The 15,276-nt window shown below is 48.4% G+C and overlaps 1 protein-coding gene across 8 annotated transcripts in view, besides 1 other annotated feature; it reads right to left on the minus strand.

Moving 5' to 3' along the window:
- The window catches only part of ABCC12 (ATP binding cassette subfamily C member 12), a 75,112-nt gene that overhangs the window by 14,164 nt on the left and 45,672 nt on the right, over positions 1-15,276 (minus strand). For 5 of the 8 annotated variants that reach the window (NR_171628.1, NR_171629.1, NR_171631.1 and 2 more), the window contains 6 exons: positions 13,395-13,484; positions 12,277-12,380; positions 10,094-10,291; positions 9,097-9,323; positions 5,827-5,964; positions 1,701-1,887 (listed from right to left, as the gene is read on the minus strand). Coding sequence is in view for 2 of the 8 variants with exons in the window: in NM_001393797.1 (NP_001380726.1) it covers positions 1,701-1,857; positions 5,827-5,964; positions 9,097-9,323; positions 10,094-10,291; positions 12,277-12,380; positions 13,395-13,484 (914 nt within the window). In the remaining 6 variants the exon portion in view is untranslated. The remainder of the gene's footprint in view (positions 1-1,700; positions 1,888-5,826; positions 5,965-9,096; positions 9,324-10,093; positions 10,292-12,276; positions 12,381-13,394; positions 13,485-15,276) is intronic. The other 3 variants (NM_001393797.1, NM_033226.3, NR_171632.1) reach the window with 2 other exon arrangements.
- Positions 5,849-6,548: an enhancer, noted in NCBI's record as "active region_10789". NCBI's record gives its function as "activates an Ori minimal core promoter by ATAC-STARR-seq in GM12878 lymphoblastoid cells {active_cell/tissue: GM12878}" and the evidence as "EXISTENCE:reporter gene assay evidence [ECO:0000049][PMID:35858748]".

A 15,276-nucleotide genomic window follows, 5' to 3' on the forward strand; every position in this document is an offset into this window, starting at 1 on the left:
TTTAGGAGGGGAAAAAAAGACTCTAACTGATATGGTTTGGCTTTGTCCCCACACAAATCATCTTGAATTGTAGCTCCCATAATTCCCACGTGTTCTGGGAGGGACCCAGTGGGTTGGGAGATAATTGAATCGTGGGGGCAGTTTCCCCCATACTGTTCTCATGGTGGTAAATAAGTCTCACGAGAGCTGATGATTTTATGAGGGGTTTCCCCTTTCACTTGGCTCTCATTCTCTCTTGTCTGCCACCAAGTAAGACGTGCCTTTCACCTTCCACCATGATTATGAGGCCTCCCCAGCCACGTGGAACTGTGAGTCCATTAAACTCCTTTTTCTTTAAAAATGACCCAGTCTCAGGTATGTCTTTATCAGCAGTGTGAGAACTAACACACTAATTAATATTAATATCCTCAGAGAGATTCAAAAATATGCTGCATCCATGTAAAAAATGATTCTTTTAAAAACTCAGAGAATAAGAGCTTGTGGAAATTAAATATGTGAATATATGATTGCCAAATTTAAAATTCAAGGAATAGCTGAATGGCAAAGCTAACAAAAATTCCCAAGATAAAAAGACAAGAACATGGAAACTGAGAGAAAAGAAAAAGAAACATAGAGAATTGATGCAAGAAATTCAATATTCAACTGACATGAATACAGTAAGAAAAAAAAAAAGAAAGAAAAAGAGGACATTGTCAAAATGAAGGAGAAAAAGGAGAAATGTTTCCAAGCTGATGAGAAATTGGACTTTAATCTTAAAGAACTCACAGCATCAAACAGAACACATGAATAAAGACCCACATTCAGATACATTATCCCAGAGTTTCAGAGCACTAAGAATAAGGACTATGTCAAAAAAGTTTCCAAAGATAACAAGATTCAAACAAACATGAGGACCAGGTGGCCTGCATTCAAATCCTGGCCCTCACATGTGACAGCTGTTATGATCTTGGGACAAGTCTTTCTGTGGCTCAGTTTCTTCATCTGCAAAATGGGGACCACAGCAGTATTAGAGGGTTGTTGTGGGGAGGAAATGAATTAATTTAGTTAAAAGACAGGGCCTGAAGCCAATCACAATCAATGCCGTATGTTCACCTATTATTGTTATTCAAAAGAAAAAAAAGCAACCAAGAAGAGAAGTCAGTAATTATTTGTCATCAATATTATGACTGTCTCCCCAGCATTCATTTCACTCCCTCCACTGTGGAGTAGCTATGTGACTTAAAGTTGGAAATGGGTGTAACTCCAACCCTAGCCTAACCAATGATCCGTATCCCATCAAACCACTAATTAGTTTTGGGATGCCTAAATTAATCCAATAATAGTAATGCTCCAGGCTTTTGCCTCCATGGCTGGGGCAGGAAATGCTTTCCTCCAATAACAGTAAAGCTCCAGGCTTCTGCCTCCGTGGCTGGGCCAGGAAATGCTTTCTTTCTGCTTCCTCTTTGCTGTAGACCCCAGAGGCTGCTGGTCACCTATGAGGAAAGTCATCACAGGGCATGGGCAAAGCTCAGAGACATGATCCCACTGTGCCTGAAGTCCACACAACCATCCTACTTTTTAATGATGTGAGCCACTAAGCTCCCTTTCTCATTTAAACCCATTCGAGTTGGGGTTTTTGTTGTGTCCATCCAAAAGCACCCTCGCTGATGTATTACAGGCCGGAGCCTCCAGACTAAGCCCAACTTTGCACCAGGCATTACCTGGATGATGTATGACAATGACAGGCCTTTGGATGAAGTACTGATGGAGGAGAAACTCAGGGTCACCAACAAGGCCACAGTGAAGGTAAGGATGTTCATGAGGACATCCATTCTCAGCGCAAACCACCTGAGAGCACAGTTAAAGTAGAGGAGGTGACTGGAGTTTTCGTCGTTTAGCGTCTTAAACCTACAGTCAAGAAAATCAGAAAAAGCAGGAGATCAGGTTGTGCTGTAGACTTAAGGTTAGGGTGACTGGAGAAATGAGGCCAAGGAATTTTTAATCAAGGGAACACACTCTCACATAGCAAACTCTTACAAAAATGAACATATATTCATGCTCTTAAAAATCTGCCACTCTAGACATCTTTGATTTGCACATATTTTGGGAAATCTCATGTGGCAATAGAGTAGGGTGCTAAGTGGCTCTTTCTGTCTTTCCCAGAACTGGCAGCTAGAATCTACAGCTGAGAAGAAGAGGTGCCGAGTGCTTCACATTCTGACTCCAAAGGATCCCTATCGTGGAGTCAGTCACCCTCAAAGGCTTTGTGGAATTGACAATTGGCCCCCTTGATCTATAGAAAGGGTGGGGGTGGGTTGTGGAGGAGGTCACCTTTAGGGAAATCAATGTTTGTGACTGTAGAGGAGGGAAGGGAGGGTGCATGTTAGGTTTCCCTCCCTGAATCAGAGAAAGAAGATTGAAGACAATTGCTTATAAAGCTGGGAGCTTCTTCAAGGACAGGAAGCTGACACCTTGCATCCCTGCTGCACGTCCACGGAGCCAAAGGGCTTGGAGAGGGGGGAAGAAGCACAGAGCGGAGTGACAGGGAGATGACACAGCCAGGGGATGGGGGCAAGACCCACCCCCTGGAGTTCCGCATTCCCCAGATGTATGCAAGGTGGATCCCATCAGCTCCACAGTTCCTAGGGCTGAGATAGCAGAAGGAAGATGACCTTGGAGGCTGCAGTCTTGATGTGACGGTCCCTGGCATGAAGCAAAGGGGCCTCCACATCAGAGGAGTGCAGTGTGAGGGCTGCCAGGCAGAACTCACAGGAAGACCCAGCAACTCCTACCGATGCAGCAATGCTGGCAGAACTCCTGGGGTTCTGGCCCTACTGGGGCCTCCAAGCTGCTGTCCCACATCTGCACAGTGCATTGCAGCAGCAGGAAAGGATAGCAGAAAGGAGAGAATGGCCCAGAGGTGCCAGTCACCCAAGGATGTGTTCTTCCTGCTGTCCCCTCCCCAGTTCCCCCACATGGGCATCAGAGAGCCAGGCCTGGAGAAAAGGAAGAGGGTGTTTAAAAGCACAGAGCAGGTGCTTCTCAATTGCAAGCCTGCCCCACCTGACACACACACACACACACACACACACACACACACACACACACACACACAGCATAGCCTTGCCACACCAAGCCTCTGGGGGAAAGAGACCTGTGGCTTGAATATATTCAAGATTGAAATTTTCACCGCACTGAGCTGACCATTAACCAAAAGAGACATCAGATTCAATTGCCACTGTGGCTTCCCTGATCTAGTGGGGAAGGGCTTCATGAGAACAGCTGGTAGAAACTACTGGGGGAAAAATGAAAACCCTTCCACGCTTAAAGCCCTAAGGAGGTACAATTCCTCCCCTGGCATAGCTGTGAATGGCCTCAGGCACTGCTGCTCCATGCTGTCCTGGAAGGCCTCCCAGAGTTCTGCCTGGAAGCCCCTCTGACCAGCCGCCCTGGGCTCTGCTGCCCTCTCCTCCTCTCTGTTTCAACTCTAACTTATTTTCCCCAGAGCTTAGTCAAAATATTCTTCAAAACACAGTGCTGTTTCTATCATGTAGCTATACAGCATACAAATTCAACTGACAGCCTCCATGACCTGGAAGTCACCTGTGGTCTTATCCGTGTGGTTGGTTAGATTGCATAGAAACAAAATCACTAGCTGGGATCAAATTGGAATTTGACCTCTAATCTTTTTACATTTTTTAAGCTGTAGCATTTTTGTCTGGTGGCAAATGCAATACACGTCAGAAACCCAAGCCCTTTGGAAAGAAACTATTAAAAGAAGGGAACCCCCATCAGTCATTCTTGGCTCCCTATAGGATTCTCTCAGAAATCTTGGAGTAGAAGCTGTGGGAAGACAAAGTTTGCATGTGTGTTTGTTGTGGGTGAGTAGACTAATGGCTCCATGGGCTTTCCTCATGGCCAGGACTTTGGAAGTGTCTATGTGTGAGGCAGGACTCTTGACAAACGATGTTCAGGTCAAACTAGGGTCCGGACTAGGTGCTGACTGAACTAAAGACAAGGTGTGATGTCAAGTCTACTCTGAGATCCTGGGTGGTAAAATGGAGGGGGCGTGAGAGAGAGAATTAGAGGCAATTCTAAATTTAATGCAATTCCAGGCTGGTTGCAGTGGCTCACTATAATCCCCGCACTCTTGGAGGCCAAGGCAGGTGGATCACTTGAGGTCAGGAGTTTGAGACCAGCCTGGCCAACATGGTGAAATGCTGTCTCTACTAAAAATACAAAAATTAGCTGGGCCCCAGTTACTTGGGAGGCTGAGGCAAGAGAATCGCTTGAACCCAGGAGATAGAAGTTGCAATGAGCCGAGATGATGCCATTGCACTCCAGCCTGGGTGACAGAGCAAGACTCTGTCTCAAAAAATAAAAATAAAAATAAATAAATTTAATGCAATTCCAAACTTAGAATGCATTCGATGCACCCTTTAGAACTGCATCTAATTCTTTCTCTCTGAAGGGTGTGTTGGCATTTTAAGGAAGGAAAAGACAGAAAGTGGGAAAGGCTGCTATGGATTCACCAAACTCCATTTTCTTTTCCTCCTTTGGACACAGCTGGACTACATTTCCCAGCCTCCCTTGCGTTAGGTGAGCCCATGTGACTCCAATGTGGCCAAGGAATGTGCAGAAATCTTGGGACACTTCGCTAGGGTTGGACCATAAAATCCCCCTGGGTCCTCCTTCCTGGCCTCTCGCCTTGTCTTCCGGCCTAACACAGAAGATCCGAGAGAATACCTCAGGGCCTTGGGACAGAAGAGCCCCAGATAGAAACAGACTATGCCTGAGTGTGGAGTACAATCACCTACTGTTGCCCCATGGACCTTCACTAAATTGTGACATCAGGAAAAATAAAAATTTATTGCATGATCTCCCTAAGATTTGGGCTTATTGTTACTGCAGTGAGCCTACTGTGATTTATCCTTTTTCTTTTTTTTTTTTTTTGAGACAGAGTCTCACTCTGTTGCCCAGGCTAGAGAGCAGTAGCACAATCTCAGCTCACTGTAACCTCTGCCTCCCAGGTTCAAGTGATTCTCCTGCCTCAGCCTCCCAAGTAGCTGACATTACAGGTGCCCACCACCACACCCAGCTAATTTTTGTATTTTTAGTAGAGATGGGGTTTCGTCATGTTGGCCAGGCTGGTCTCAAACTCCTGACCTCACATGATCCACCCACCTCGGCCTTCCAAAGTGCTGGAATTACAGGCGTGAGCCACCGCGCCCAGTCTGATTTATACATTTTATGTCATATTTTAGAAGTTTGAAGCTGGAAGATGCCAGAGAGATTTACTAATGTAGTCCCCATATTTTAAAAAGAAGAAAATGCTAAGTGAAATGAAAGGTGGCCTTTAGAAATTATTTTTACAAGACTCGTGTAATAACATGAAACAGGCTATTTCAAACTGTTAAATAAATTTAAGAAATGATTATAAATAAGAAGAAAAAGAAGACGCCATGAATAGAAAAAAAGAACAAAAAATGGAAGGAAACATGAAAAAATTAATAGGTTTGGGTTTGGGGAGGGGCTGTAAGTGATTTTTTTCTTCTTTTTTCTTCTTTTCCCTATCTTCCTGAATCAAACACATTTTTACTTTTAGAATGAAAAATAGAACAAATGAGGTTGTCATTGAACAAGCTCCCCTCATTCACATCTTCTGGGGCCCAAGATGCTGGAAGAGAGGCTGTGAGGCCAAGTGTCTTCAAGGACTCCTCCTGATTCTTCCAGCTCTTTGTCTGTGATCAGTCCCCAGCAGCCCAGACTTCCCTCCTCCTGTGCACTCCCCATCGGAGTCAGGCATGAAGCATGGGGGCCTGGGGCAGGGCCCCACATGGGACTCACTAGGTGATGCAGCTCTCCTTCTTGCCATAGGCGTGAATGATGCCCAGGCCCTGCATGGAGGAGGTGATGTGGGTGAACCAGGGTGACCGGCTGACATTCTCCACCTTCTTGAGCTCCTGGACTCCTCTGTGGAAAATGCTGGAAGAAAATTGAAAGGGGCCAGGTGGGCCACAAAGTGAGGTCTCATCAGGCTTGCCCTCACACATACAGAGCCAACTAGGCACTCAGCACAGTGCTTAAGTCAGAGACGGTGCCATCTAACTGGGGATGAAGAGCAGCCTGCCATTCTGCAGTGGTGCCTGCCCCAGGTGTGGGAATGGCGGAGGCGTGAGAACCATGAGTCAGCGGCACCTTCGTTTGGCCACGGTGCTGTGTTTCTCATATCAGGAAAGTCTCGCTCCACAAGGCGTGATTCTAGTCTTCTAAAACCAAAATTTCTCATACAGCACAGCCCCTAAGTATCAGCCAACCACTTTTTGGTGCCCAGCCAGAGAAAAAGTGATCTGATCTAACTCTGGAAGAAAACCCGGTGTGTCAACTGCCAACATGTGGCCTTCTAAAGGCATTTTCAAAGGTAATTTTGAATGAACGTCATTATAGCTGACTTTAAAACCAAACACCCACGGGATGCAGCTCCCCTTTATGTGGAAGCTCCAGGAGCCCTGGTGAGCAGGAGACCAGGGACCTCGGGTGTTTACAGCAGCTGGCTGGCCCCCGAGAGAGAAGACAATCAAACCTCCAGACTCTCAGCCAAAACAAACCCAGGGCAGTGAGGAGGGAAGTCTCATTAGTGCAGAGCTAAAGTGAGTTGTTTGGAAACACTTGGATAATTCAAGCAGGACGAGCTCTGGTCTGTCTAGTCTTTATAGCTAGAGGGGTGGGTACAGAGCAGGGAAAGAGCTTTTACTAAGTAAATCAACTGCATAAACAGGAGGACAGACAAGAGCAATGATCAAATACAGGAATGACAAAAAGGAACATGAGCCCAAAGAATCCACTGTAAGCATGACATCCAGGACTTGCTTTTATCCTGTAAATGACTCTCAGAAATTATTTGTATTTGGTCATCACAATAAACCCTTGAGTTTGGAGACTCAGACCATTTCATTTGGAGACAGGAGAAGAGGGTCTGGAGGCAGGGAACCTAAGGCCAATTCACGCTGACTTCCTAGAACTAAATCAAAATGAAAACCCCAACTTTCCCCGCCTAGGTAACAAAAGGCTCAAAGGCTACTCTCCTTGCACACCTGCCCCTTTTTCTGGATGACAGATGTACCTTTGATTAGTCCCCTCCCACAACCAATCAGGCTGGTGGCAGGCCAAGTCTTCATTTGTATAGGAGTAACTGTAACTTCACTTCAGCCTCTGATTAGTCGCTTTCTGCAACCAGTCAGACTGATCATGGGCCACTACTTCATTTGCATGGGGCGTACACCAAGTGGCCAATGGGAAACCTCTAGAGGGTATTTAAACCCCAGAAAATTCTGTAACTGAGCTTTGAGCCCCTATGCTCAGGCTTGCTCCCATCCTGTGGGAGTGTACTTTCATTTTTAATAAATCTCTGCTTTTGTTGCTTCTTTCTTTCCTTGCTTTGTGCGTTTTGTCCAATTCTTTGCTCAGGACATCAAGAACTTGGACACCCTTCAAGAACCTGGACACCCTAACAATTTCGCTTCCTCAGGGTCACCACGGGAACAGTGAAAGACAGCAGCAAGAGTCCAGCTCTCCCAGCTCTCTAGGGCACAGTGTCAGCTCCCAGAGCCACACCTGCCCCTGCACAGAGTCCAGCTCTCCTGCCCCAGTACATTCCCACACCCGCATTTGCCACTGTCCACGGACACCATCAGCCGACTTGTTGAACAGAACTGAAACATCCGAAACTAAACTCGTATTCTTATTCCCCAAACCGCTTCTCCTCCTGCACCACACGTATCTCTCTTCACATCGCTCTCCACCTTGAAATCATCCTTTGCCTCTCCCATCCCCCAACACCCAAAATTCCACCAGACGTGGGAAGTGAAACCCTGATGACACTACCTTGGAAATGGCTCTCAAATCCACACCTCTCTTCTGTTCCCACTGCTGCTGCCTACGTCTGGTCCTCATTAATTCTCTCACACAGACTGTAGATTTCAAGGGACTCCTGCTCTATAGTCTGCCCTGACCTTTCTGTAGCTCCATTCACCCTCCACACTGTGGCCACAGCAATTATTTCTAAAACTAGGATCTGAGCGTGAAAACCAACAAACCTGTGCACAGGTGAAAGCAAGTCTAGGGTTTGTGGGCTGAATATTTTATTTGGAGGATTCTCTTTCAGATCTACAATAACTAACCCACTGGCTGGGCACGTCTAGGAGCATAATCCTGTGCACAGGTGAAAGCAAGTTCAGGGTTTGTGGGCTAAATATTTTATAATTTGGGGGATTCTCTTTCAGATCTACAATAACTATCCCACTGGCTGGGCAGGTCTAGGATCATGATAAATGATTATTTTTAGTTATGATTTTTATGGAAACTCTTGCATAACAGCTTATTCCATTTTTAACCAACAAGCATTGGTTGTGTAGTCTCCCTGATCCTCACAAGCCCTCTGAAACAGGTGAGGCATATATTTCAATGATTACCATTAAGGAGAGAGGAAACTGAGGTTTGCAGCACCTCTCTGACTTCTCCAAGGTCCTTCAGCTAGTTGTGGCAGAGCTGGGGCTCTAATGCAAATTTCTCTGATTTGCAACCCTTTGCCCTCACCCAATACCCACCATGCTACCTGCTAGGAACCCCAGCTCACCCCAGGAACAGCAGGGAGCCGGGCAGGTCTCCTAGGAGGCTGGAATCATGGCTGTCCTCCTGCTTTCCCCCAGGGTGGGTGTGCACAGCTGCAGTGGGAACCCCCGCCCCGACACTGTGCAAAGCTGCCTAAGGCCTTTCTCTAAACACACCCATGGTTAGGGTGGCGGTTATTTCTCAAAGCTCAGAGCAGCAACGGTAGAGCCCCATGGTTAGGAACATAGCAGCAGAGAGGAGGCAATCATGGCTACTAGTTTCTTGGCCTGGGACCAGTGCCGTAATCTTTCAATAGTTTCCACCTCTCAGGGTTGCTCTGGGGCTAAAATGCCAGATGTATGCAAAGCACCTGGCATTTACTAAGTACAAAAAAAATCAATGGTAGACCATCAGTAAAGACAGCAAGCACTCCATGCTCAATATCACCTGATACCCAGTCAGTGTGTGTGTGTATCGTTTTCTCGTGTAAATAGCACATGGGCCTACCGTAACAGAATGAAGAAGCCTACAGCAAGGCTGGCCACGACTAAAAGGACAGCAGGAAACACAGCAGCCAAGATCACGAGAATAAACACCACCATAAAAAACTGCTGCAGAAAGTTCTCTGCGTGAAACGGCAGCCTCACATCCAGCTCGTCCATATCCTTGGAAAAACGGTTCATTAGCCTGCCAGTGGGAGTCGTGTCAAAGAAACTCATTGGGCTCTTTAAGATCTGTGGAGAATGGTAGAGAGTCAAACAGAGTCGAGATGCGTGCTTAGTAAACCCTGCTGCTCTGCTGGAGGTGAAATTGTGAGCACAGGGCCTGACCTTTTTTCCAGGGCACAACACAGTGTGTCAGGTGATCTTGGGAAAGGGAGGATGCACCCCATTCTTGCGGCCACCGTGAATGAGTGTGAATGTGGGGATTCAGTCTCTGTGTGGAAGTCCCGAGAGACCCCCTATAGGTCAGGCTTCCCCTTCAAATCTGGGATGCAGCCTGAGACGGGAGAGGCTGATGCCTTTGTCGGAGGAAGGAATTTTGTGCCCCATGGCAATAAAAAGCCAAGTTTCACTTTGTCTCTTTACCTCCAAAGTGTGGGCCCCACCCACATGCTCTAGCCAGGGCCCTCCCAGGCCCTGGCTGCCACCCACCACAGCAGTGGAATGCAGAGGGGGCTGGAAGGATCTCTTGAGGGCCGTGTCGCACTCAGGGCTCTTTGGAGCAGGAGGTGCTTGCTTGGCCTGCGCATCTCTGCGGCGGAGTGGCCTCCCACGCCTCCATCCCATAGCCCAGACTCAGGGCTGATCCACCCCCACAGCTCCCTGGAATCTACCTTCAGTTGGTAATTAGCTATTTGGGAGACTCTTCCCAGACTAGACTGCAAGCTCTATGAGGGCTCTGGCTGTCCCCAGAGCCCAGCACCATGCCTGGCACACTGCAGGTGCTCCGTATACCTTGTTGACTGAATAACTGGGTACACCTGCAATGCTTGTGGCCCTACCTTATCAAACACCGTGTCATGCAGAGAGGAGGATGCCATCAGTGTGGTCTTGGTGAAGACGAAGCCTTTGGTGACGCCAAACACCAGCATGAACACCATGCTTGCAGTGTACACCCACTGGTACACATGCTGACCGATGTCTGCCAGCACCGCGCCGACCTCACACATGGTCCTGTTGCCCTGGGGCCCACAGGTCATCTTTGGAGAAAAACAAGAGAAGCACCAAGAATTGATAAATTCCTGCCAGGAGAACAGGAATTTTCCGGAGAATCTTTCCAGAGAGAAGAAACTAAGAAGAAGCACATGAGTGTTTTGAATGAGTCAGGTGGATACAATCTAGTCTGTTCCCTTCTGGGGCCTCTGAGCTTTGTGGGGTTCCTCCTGCTGGCACTCATGACCCCAAGGGGCACCTGACTTGTGAGCTCAGCACAGTGGGAAAAACAAAGCAGAGAAACCAGATGGGCACTGGGCAGACATCCCCGAAGCTCACTGCACCTCGGGAGACCAGAAGCAATGCTGGGCTGGGAAGATCAGAGAGGCAAATGGGGAATTGGAATTCCACCAGGCTGGAGGAGTAACCCTCAGGCAACCCGGACTGGATAGAGGATCAGGAACTGACCTCCAGCATGCTCAGCTGTGTGGCAGCAGCCACCAGGCCTTCAGGGCAACTCGGGGGGCTTCTCTGTATGATGGGCCAGCTCCACAGTCCCTTCCCTTTCTTTTTCCCAAGGGGTAACAGAGAGGGTGCTGGGGTACTGCCCTGGGATCTTTGGTGGGGAGGAGGGTGCCCAGTGAATACAAGTGGCTTTCAGAGGATTCAAAGAATCTGTGGCTCCATCCTGCCCAGTGAAAACACACAATTTTGCCGGCACTTCTGAGGAGAGGGCATCTCCTTGCCCTGAGAAATTGGCAGTTTCGTTTTTCTCTGGGCTGTGTACTAAAAGTCAAGACTGCCCTTGGGGAGCAAACAAGCATCTTTCTTCTAAATGCCATTTTGCTGATTACAGTCATAGCGGAAATGTAAATCAGAGGTGGCTGATGGATGAACATCGTTAAAAGCAAAAGTATCTCTGGGGAGTTGAGGGATAGAAGGCCCAGCCTGAAGAGGAGACACTCCTGTGCCTTTGATTGTGCTGGGGCACCAGGGCCAAACACATGGTTCAACCACCGTGGCTGCATGTCTGGGAGGGCAGGGGCAAACACATAGTGTCCAGGGCACCAGGCGCAAACATACAGTGTCTGGGGCACCAGGGGCAAACACATGGTTCAGCCACCATGGCTGCATGCTTAATCAGCCAATGGCAGTGGGACTCCTGGGGAAGCACCAAGCCTGTGAGGAGGCTGCACCCTGACTCCAAACCTCGGGCTCTCCAAGGACAGGGCTCTTCGTGAGTGAGGGGGGATCTGGGAGAATCTGTCTATTCCAGAGATGGCTCTCTATTTCTGCACAGAGCAGGCCACCCAGCAGCCTCTCCCCTGCCCCCATCTCCCCAGTGCCACCACCCTTTGGTTGTCATAGCAACAGAGCTGTACCAAATGTAATCTTGGAGGATGGGCCAGCGTCCCCACAGCACTCCCCAGGGCTCCAGGAAAGCTTTGAGACCATTGGCCAAAAGCTGGGAGAACTCCCAGCAAGCTCAAGAGAGAGTCAACACATCATTTCTTCCCAGGAAGGGCCCTGCAGAGAAGGGTCCCCCATGGCTCTGTGGCATTTGCAAAGCCTGAATCTGATGCTTGCCCATCCTGTTCATGCAGAGACAACTTTGGGGAGCAGAGACACGTGGGACCTTCTGGCACTGGGCAGTGTCCGTAACAAGATGCCAGTTTCTCTTTAGGAAGACACAAATCAGTGTTAGGCTTTCCTGGAGGAAACTTACAAGAGAGGCTGTGAAACTGACCCAATCTTGTACGTGCCTGATTCCAGACAAGCTGGGGCACAGTCTTCTTTAGTCAACCCTTTAAAATCTGAAAGTGGTGTCTATACCCTGCTTGTCTTGAAAAATCAAAGGGGATTCCAGGGGTTTGGGTCCTGTGGTGTAAGCATCTGACTCCCACTTCTTGAAAAGGGCAGAGGGATGCATGTGGGCTCATGGCATGGTGGCAGGGGCAGTCAGATGCTCTGGCAGCAGAGTTTTACTCCAAGACACAGACTCGGCATCTTCCAATGCCAAAGGGAAACTCACCCGTGAGCCCTTGTCCAACCAGAGACCCAGCCACCAGTTGCTGAAGGCAGCGCTGCCAATCATCAGGAGGAAGAGGAACACAGTGAAGAGAGAAAGGAGGTACCCTGCAAGAGGAGCGGAGAGGCCCAAGGGGCTGCAGACATGAGCACATGGCAGGGGCTGACCTTCCTCAGGACCCAACCCTGATGGGAAATTCAAAACCTGCAGGAAAAGGACTCCCACGCCTGGAAACCACCTGCTAGACTGATGCAGCACATCTGAGTGTTGGGACCCTGAACTGTGGGGACATCTGTTCTACCTGGTTGGAAAATGGCTCCAAACAGTGAACATATTGGAAAAACCACCAATGTGCACTTCAATAGAAGTGACTCAATATTCTTTTAAAAGAAGCCAAGGAAGGTCGGGCATGGTGGTTCACGCCTGTAATCCCAGCACTTTGGGAAGCTGAGGCAGGCGGATCACCTGAGGTCAGGAGTTCGAGACTAGCCTGGCCAACATGGTGAAACCTCGTCTCTACTAAAAATAGGAAAATTAGCCAGGCATAGTGGCGGGTGCCTGTAATCCCAGCTACTTGGGAGGCTGAGGCAGGAGAATTGCTTGAACCTGGGAGGCAGAGGTTGGAGGTTGCAGTCAGCCGAGATTGCACCATTGCACTCCAGCCTGGGTGACAGAGCAAGACTCCATTTCAAAAAAAAAAGGAAAGAAAGAAAGAAAGAAAAAGAAACCAAGGAAAACCCAGTCTTGCTGGAGAGAGACAGAGAGTGAAACTACAGGCATGTTTTGCACACTGAGATGAGCATCTTTTATGGAAGGCTGGCAATGGACTGGCCACTGCTGTACAGAGCAACTGGAGTGCAAGGGTAGGGTTCATGCTGCTGCTCACTCCACTCCAATAAAAGAGAGTCTGGCAGCTTTAATGGAGATAAAGAATGATTCCATTTAAAAGGCTGTATTATCAGACGTTAGTTTTTAGGAGGGGAAAAAATAAAAGCATTGATAAATGGCCCTAGCATAAACAGAATAATTGTTAAAGAAATCATAAAACGTGAACCCAACAGTTTAAGACAGGATTTTTAAAATGCAAATTAAATCAAGAAACTTGTTGTTTTATACTGAACCTCCAGAAGCCTTAATGTACGTGTGATATGTTTTCCAGGTCACGGTTCCTTCCTGGGGGGATTCAGTCTGGATGAGCTGGTGCTCAGGAACTGTGGAGACAAACACAAGTGCCATGGCTCTCACCACTGGGGTGGGGGCCCAGCGAGGTAGGCACGGCCCCTCCACAGACTCCACAACACGGCTAAGGGGGCTGTGATGCATCCTTCCACTCGTCCCATGCTCTCAAATGCACTTCCAACACACTTTTGCTCATTTTGTGCTACTCGGTCTTCAGTACAGCCCTGTGAAGTAAGCTTCTGGTCTCTTGAGAAATATTTATTAAGCACCTACTATATGGTCAGTCCTGAGGATGCAAGGATTGTCTTGGTGTATTTCTCCTAGAAGCAGCACCCAAGAAGAGACTATGAATACATGAGGTTTATTTGGGAGCTAAAGGGAGTAAGGTGTGTCACCAAGCTGGCGACCACTGTGGGCCACTGGGGCTTCATCCCATGTGAAAAATCTCAGAACCAGTGTAGGCACACACTCAGGGCTTTTTCACGTGATGAGAGGGATCTGGGATTTTTCTGTACTGATTCCTATTGGCCTTGGGGTGAAGGCCGCTCCCTGGATGGGGGTGTTAATTCCCGTACTTCCAGCTTGACATTAGCTGGCATCTCCCAGAAAGAGCCCCCAGGCAAAGGAATGCAGAGATGGCATTTGGGAGGGGGCTGGGCATGCTGAAGTGGTAAAGGCACCCTTGTCATCTGCTACAGAGTGAGCAAGAAAGAGGCAGGTCCTGTGTTCTCAGAGCTCATGCCATACAGAAGAAAACCAGCGTATCCCCCTAGGTCAGCTGCTGCATGGACACCTGATTCCCTCAATGTCTGTCCCAGGTTCTTCCATTCCCCAAGGGGAAGGGAAAATGACTGTCAAGTTCTCATGGAAACAAGATTTTGGAGGAAAAGGGATGCTGGATAAAGCAGCTCCTAGCAGCCAGTACTGAATGCATGTCTCTTCCGCTCCTCCACAGAGAAATGCGAAAATGTCGACTCCAAAGCAGAATTATACACCGTACTTGGCTTTTATAAACAGAGATAAATAGAGTTAGAAGAGGGGGCACCCCACATACAGACTGTGCACTCTGGCCCAACAGGAAAAGCTTTCACGCCTCAAAGGCACCTTGCTGAATAGAGCCACCATTATACTCGCTGCCTGGGAACCTGGAGCTCCTTTGAAAATGTTCAGCCTGACTTCAGCCCATTGTGTCTCCCTCTGAAACTGCAAAATGAGGGAGACGCCTCAGCGTGTGAGCAGAGCCTAATGAACAGCATCCAGGAGCACAAAAGGGACTGGTCACATTCCCTCGCAGCCCGCAGGCTGGGGCAGGAGTGCCGCTGATGCTCTGTTTGCCTCGGCTGTGCCTTAGAAGATGCTGTGATGCCAGGCAGGTGGGCAGTGTTGTCTTTAACCAGTTCACGAGTCTTCCCTTCCTCCAGCTTTCACCGCCCTTGACAGCCCCGTTGTTTATCCTTGAGGACTAGGTCTCTCTCCAGCATGAAATTTCACAATTACACTTTCCTCTCCAGAGAGGGGTGAGTGATGAGGAAGTGAGGAGCAGAGATTACTCTCTCCACGGGACCCCAAATCCCGGGCAGCCTGAAGGTTTCTCCAAAAAGCACAGAAGAGATATCTGGGTACTTCAGCCCTGGAAGCCTCTGGAACTGTAAAACTATGTTGCCTTTCCAAATGTGCGTGCATTTGTCACAAGCACCATTGAGGATGCCAGATCTCATCGATTCGAAGGCTCACTTCTTTCCCCCACATTGTAACATCTCTGGAATCTGGATGTGCCTTCCATTTGCTAGTATGTCATATCGTTTAGTTAGCAGAGATTTTTTT

This window comes from Homo sapiens, chromosome 16, assembly GCF_000001405.40.
Source record: "Homo sapiens chromosome 16, GRCh38.p14 Primary Assembly".
In the NCBI taxonomy this organism is placed as follows: domain Eukaryota; kingdom Metazoa; phylum Chordata; class Mammalia; order Primates; family Hominidae; genus Homo; species Homo sapiens.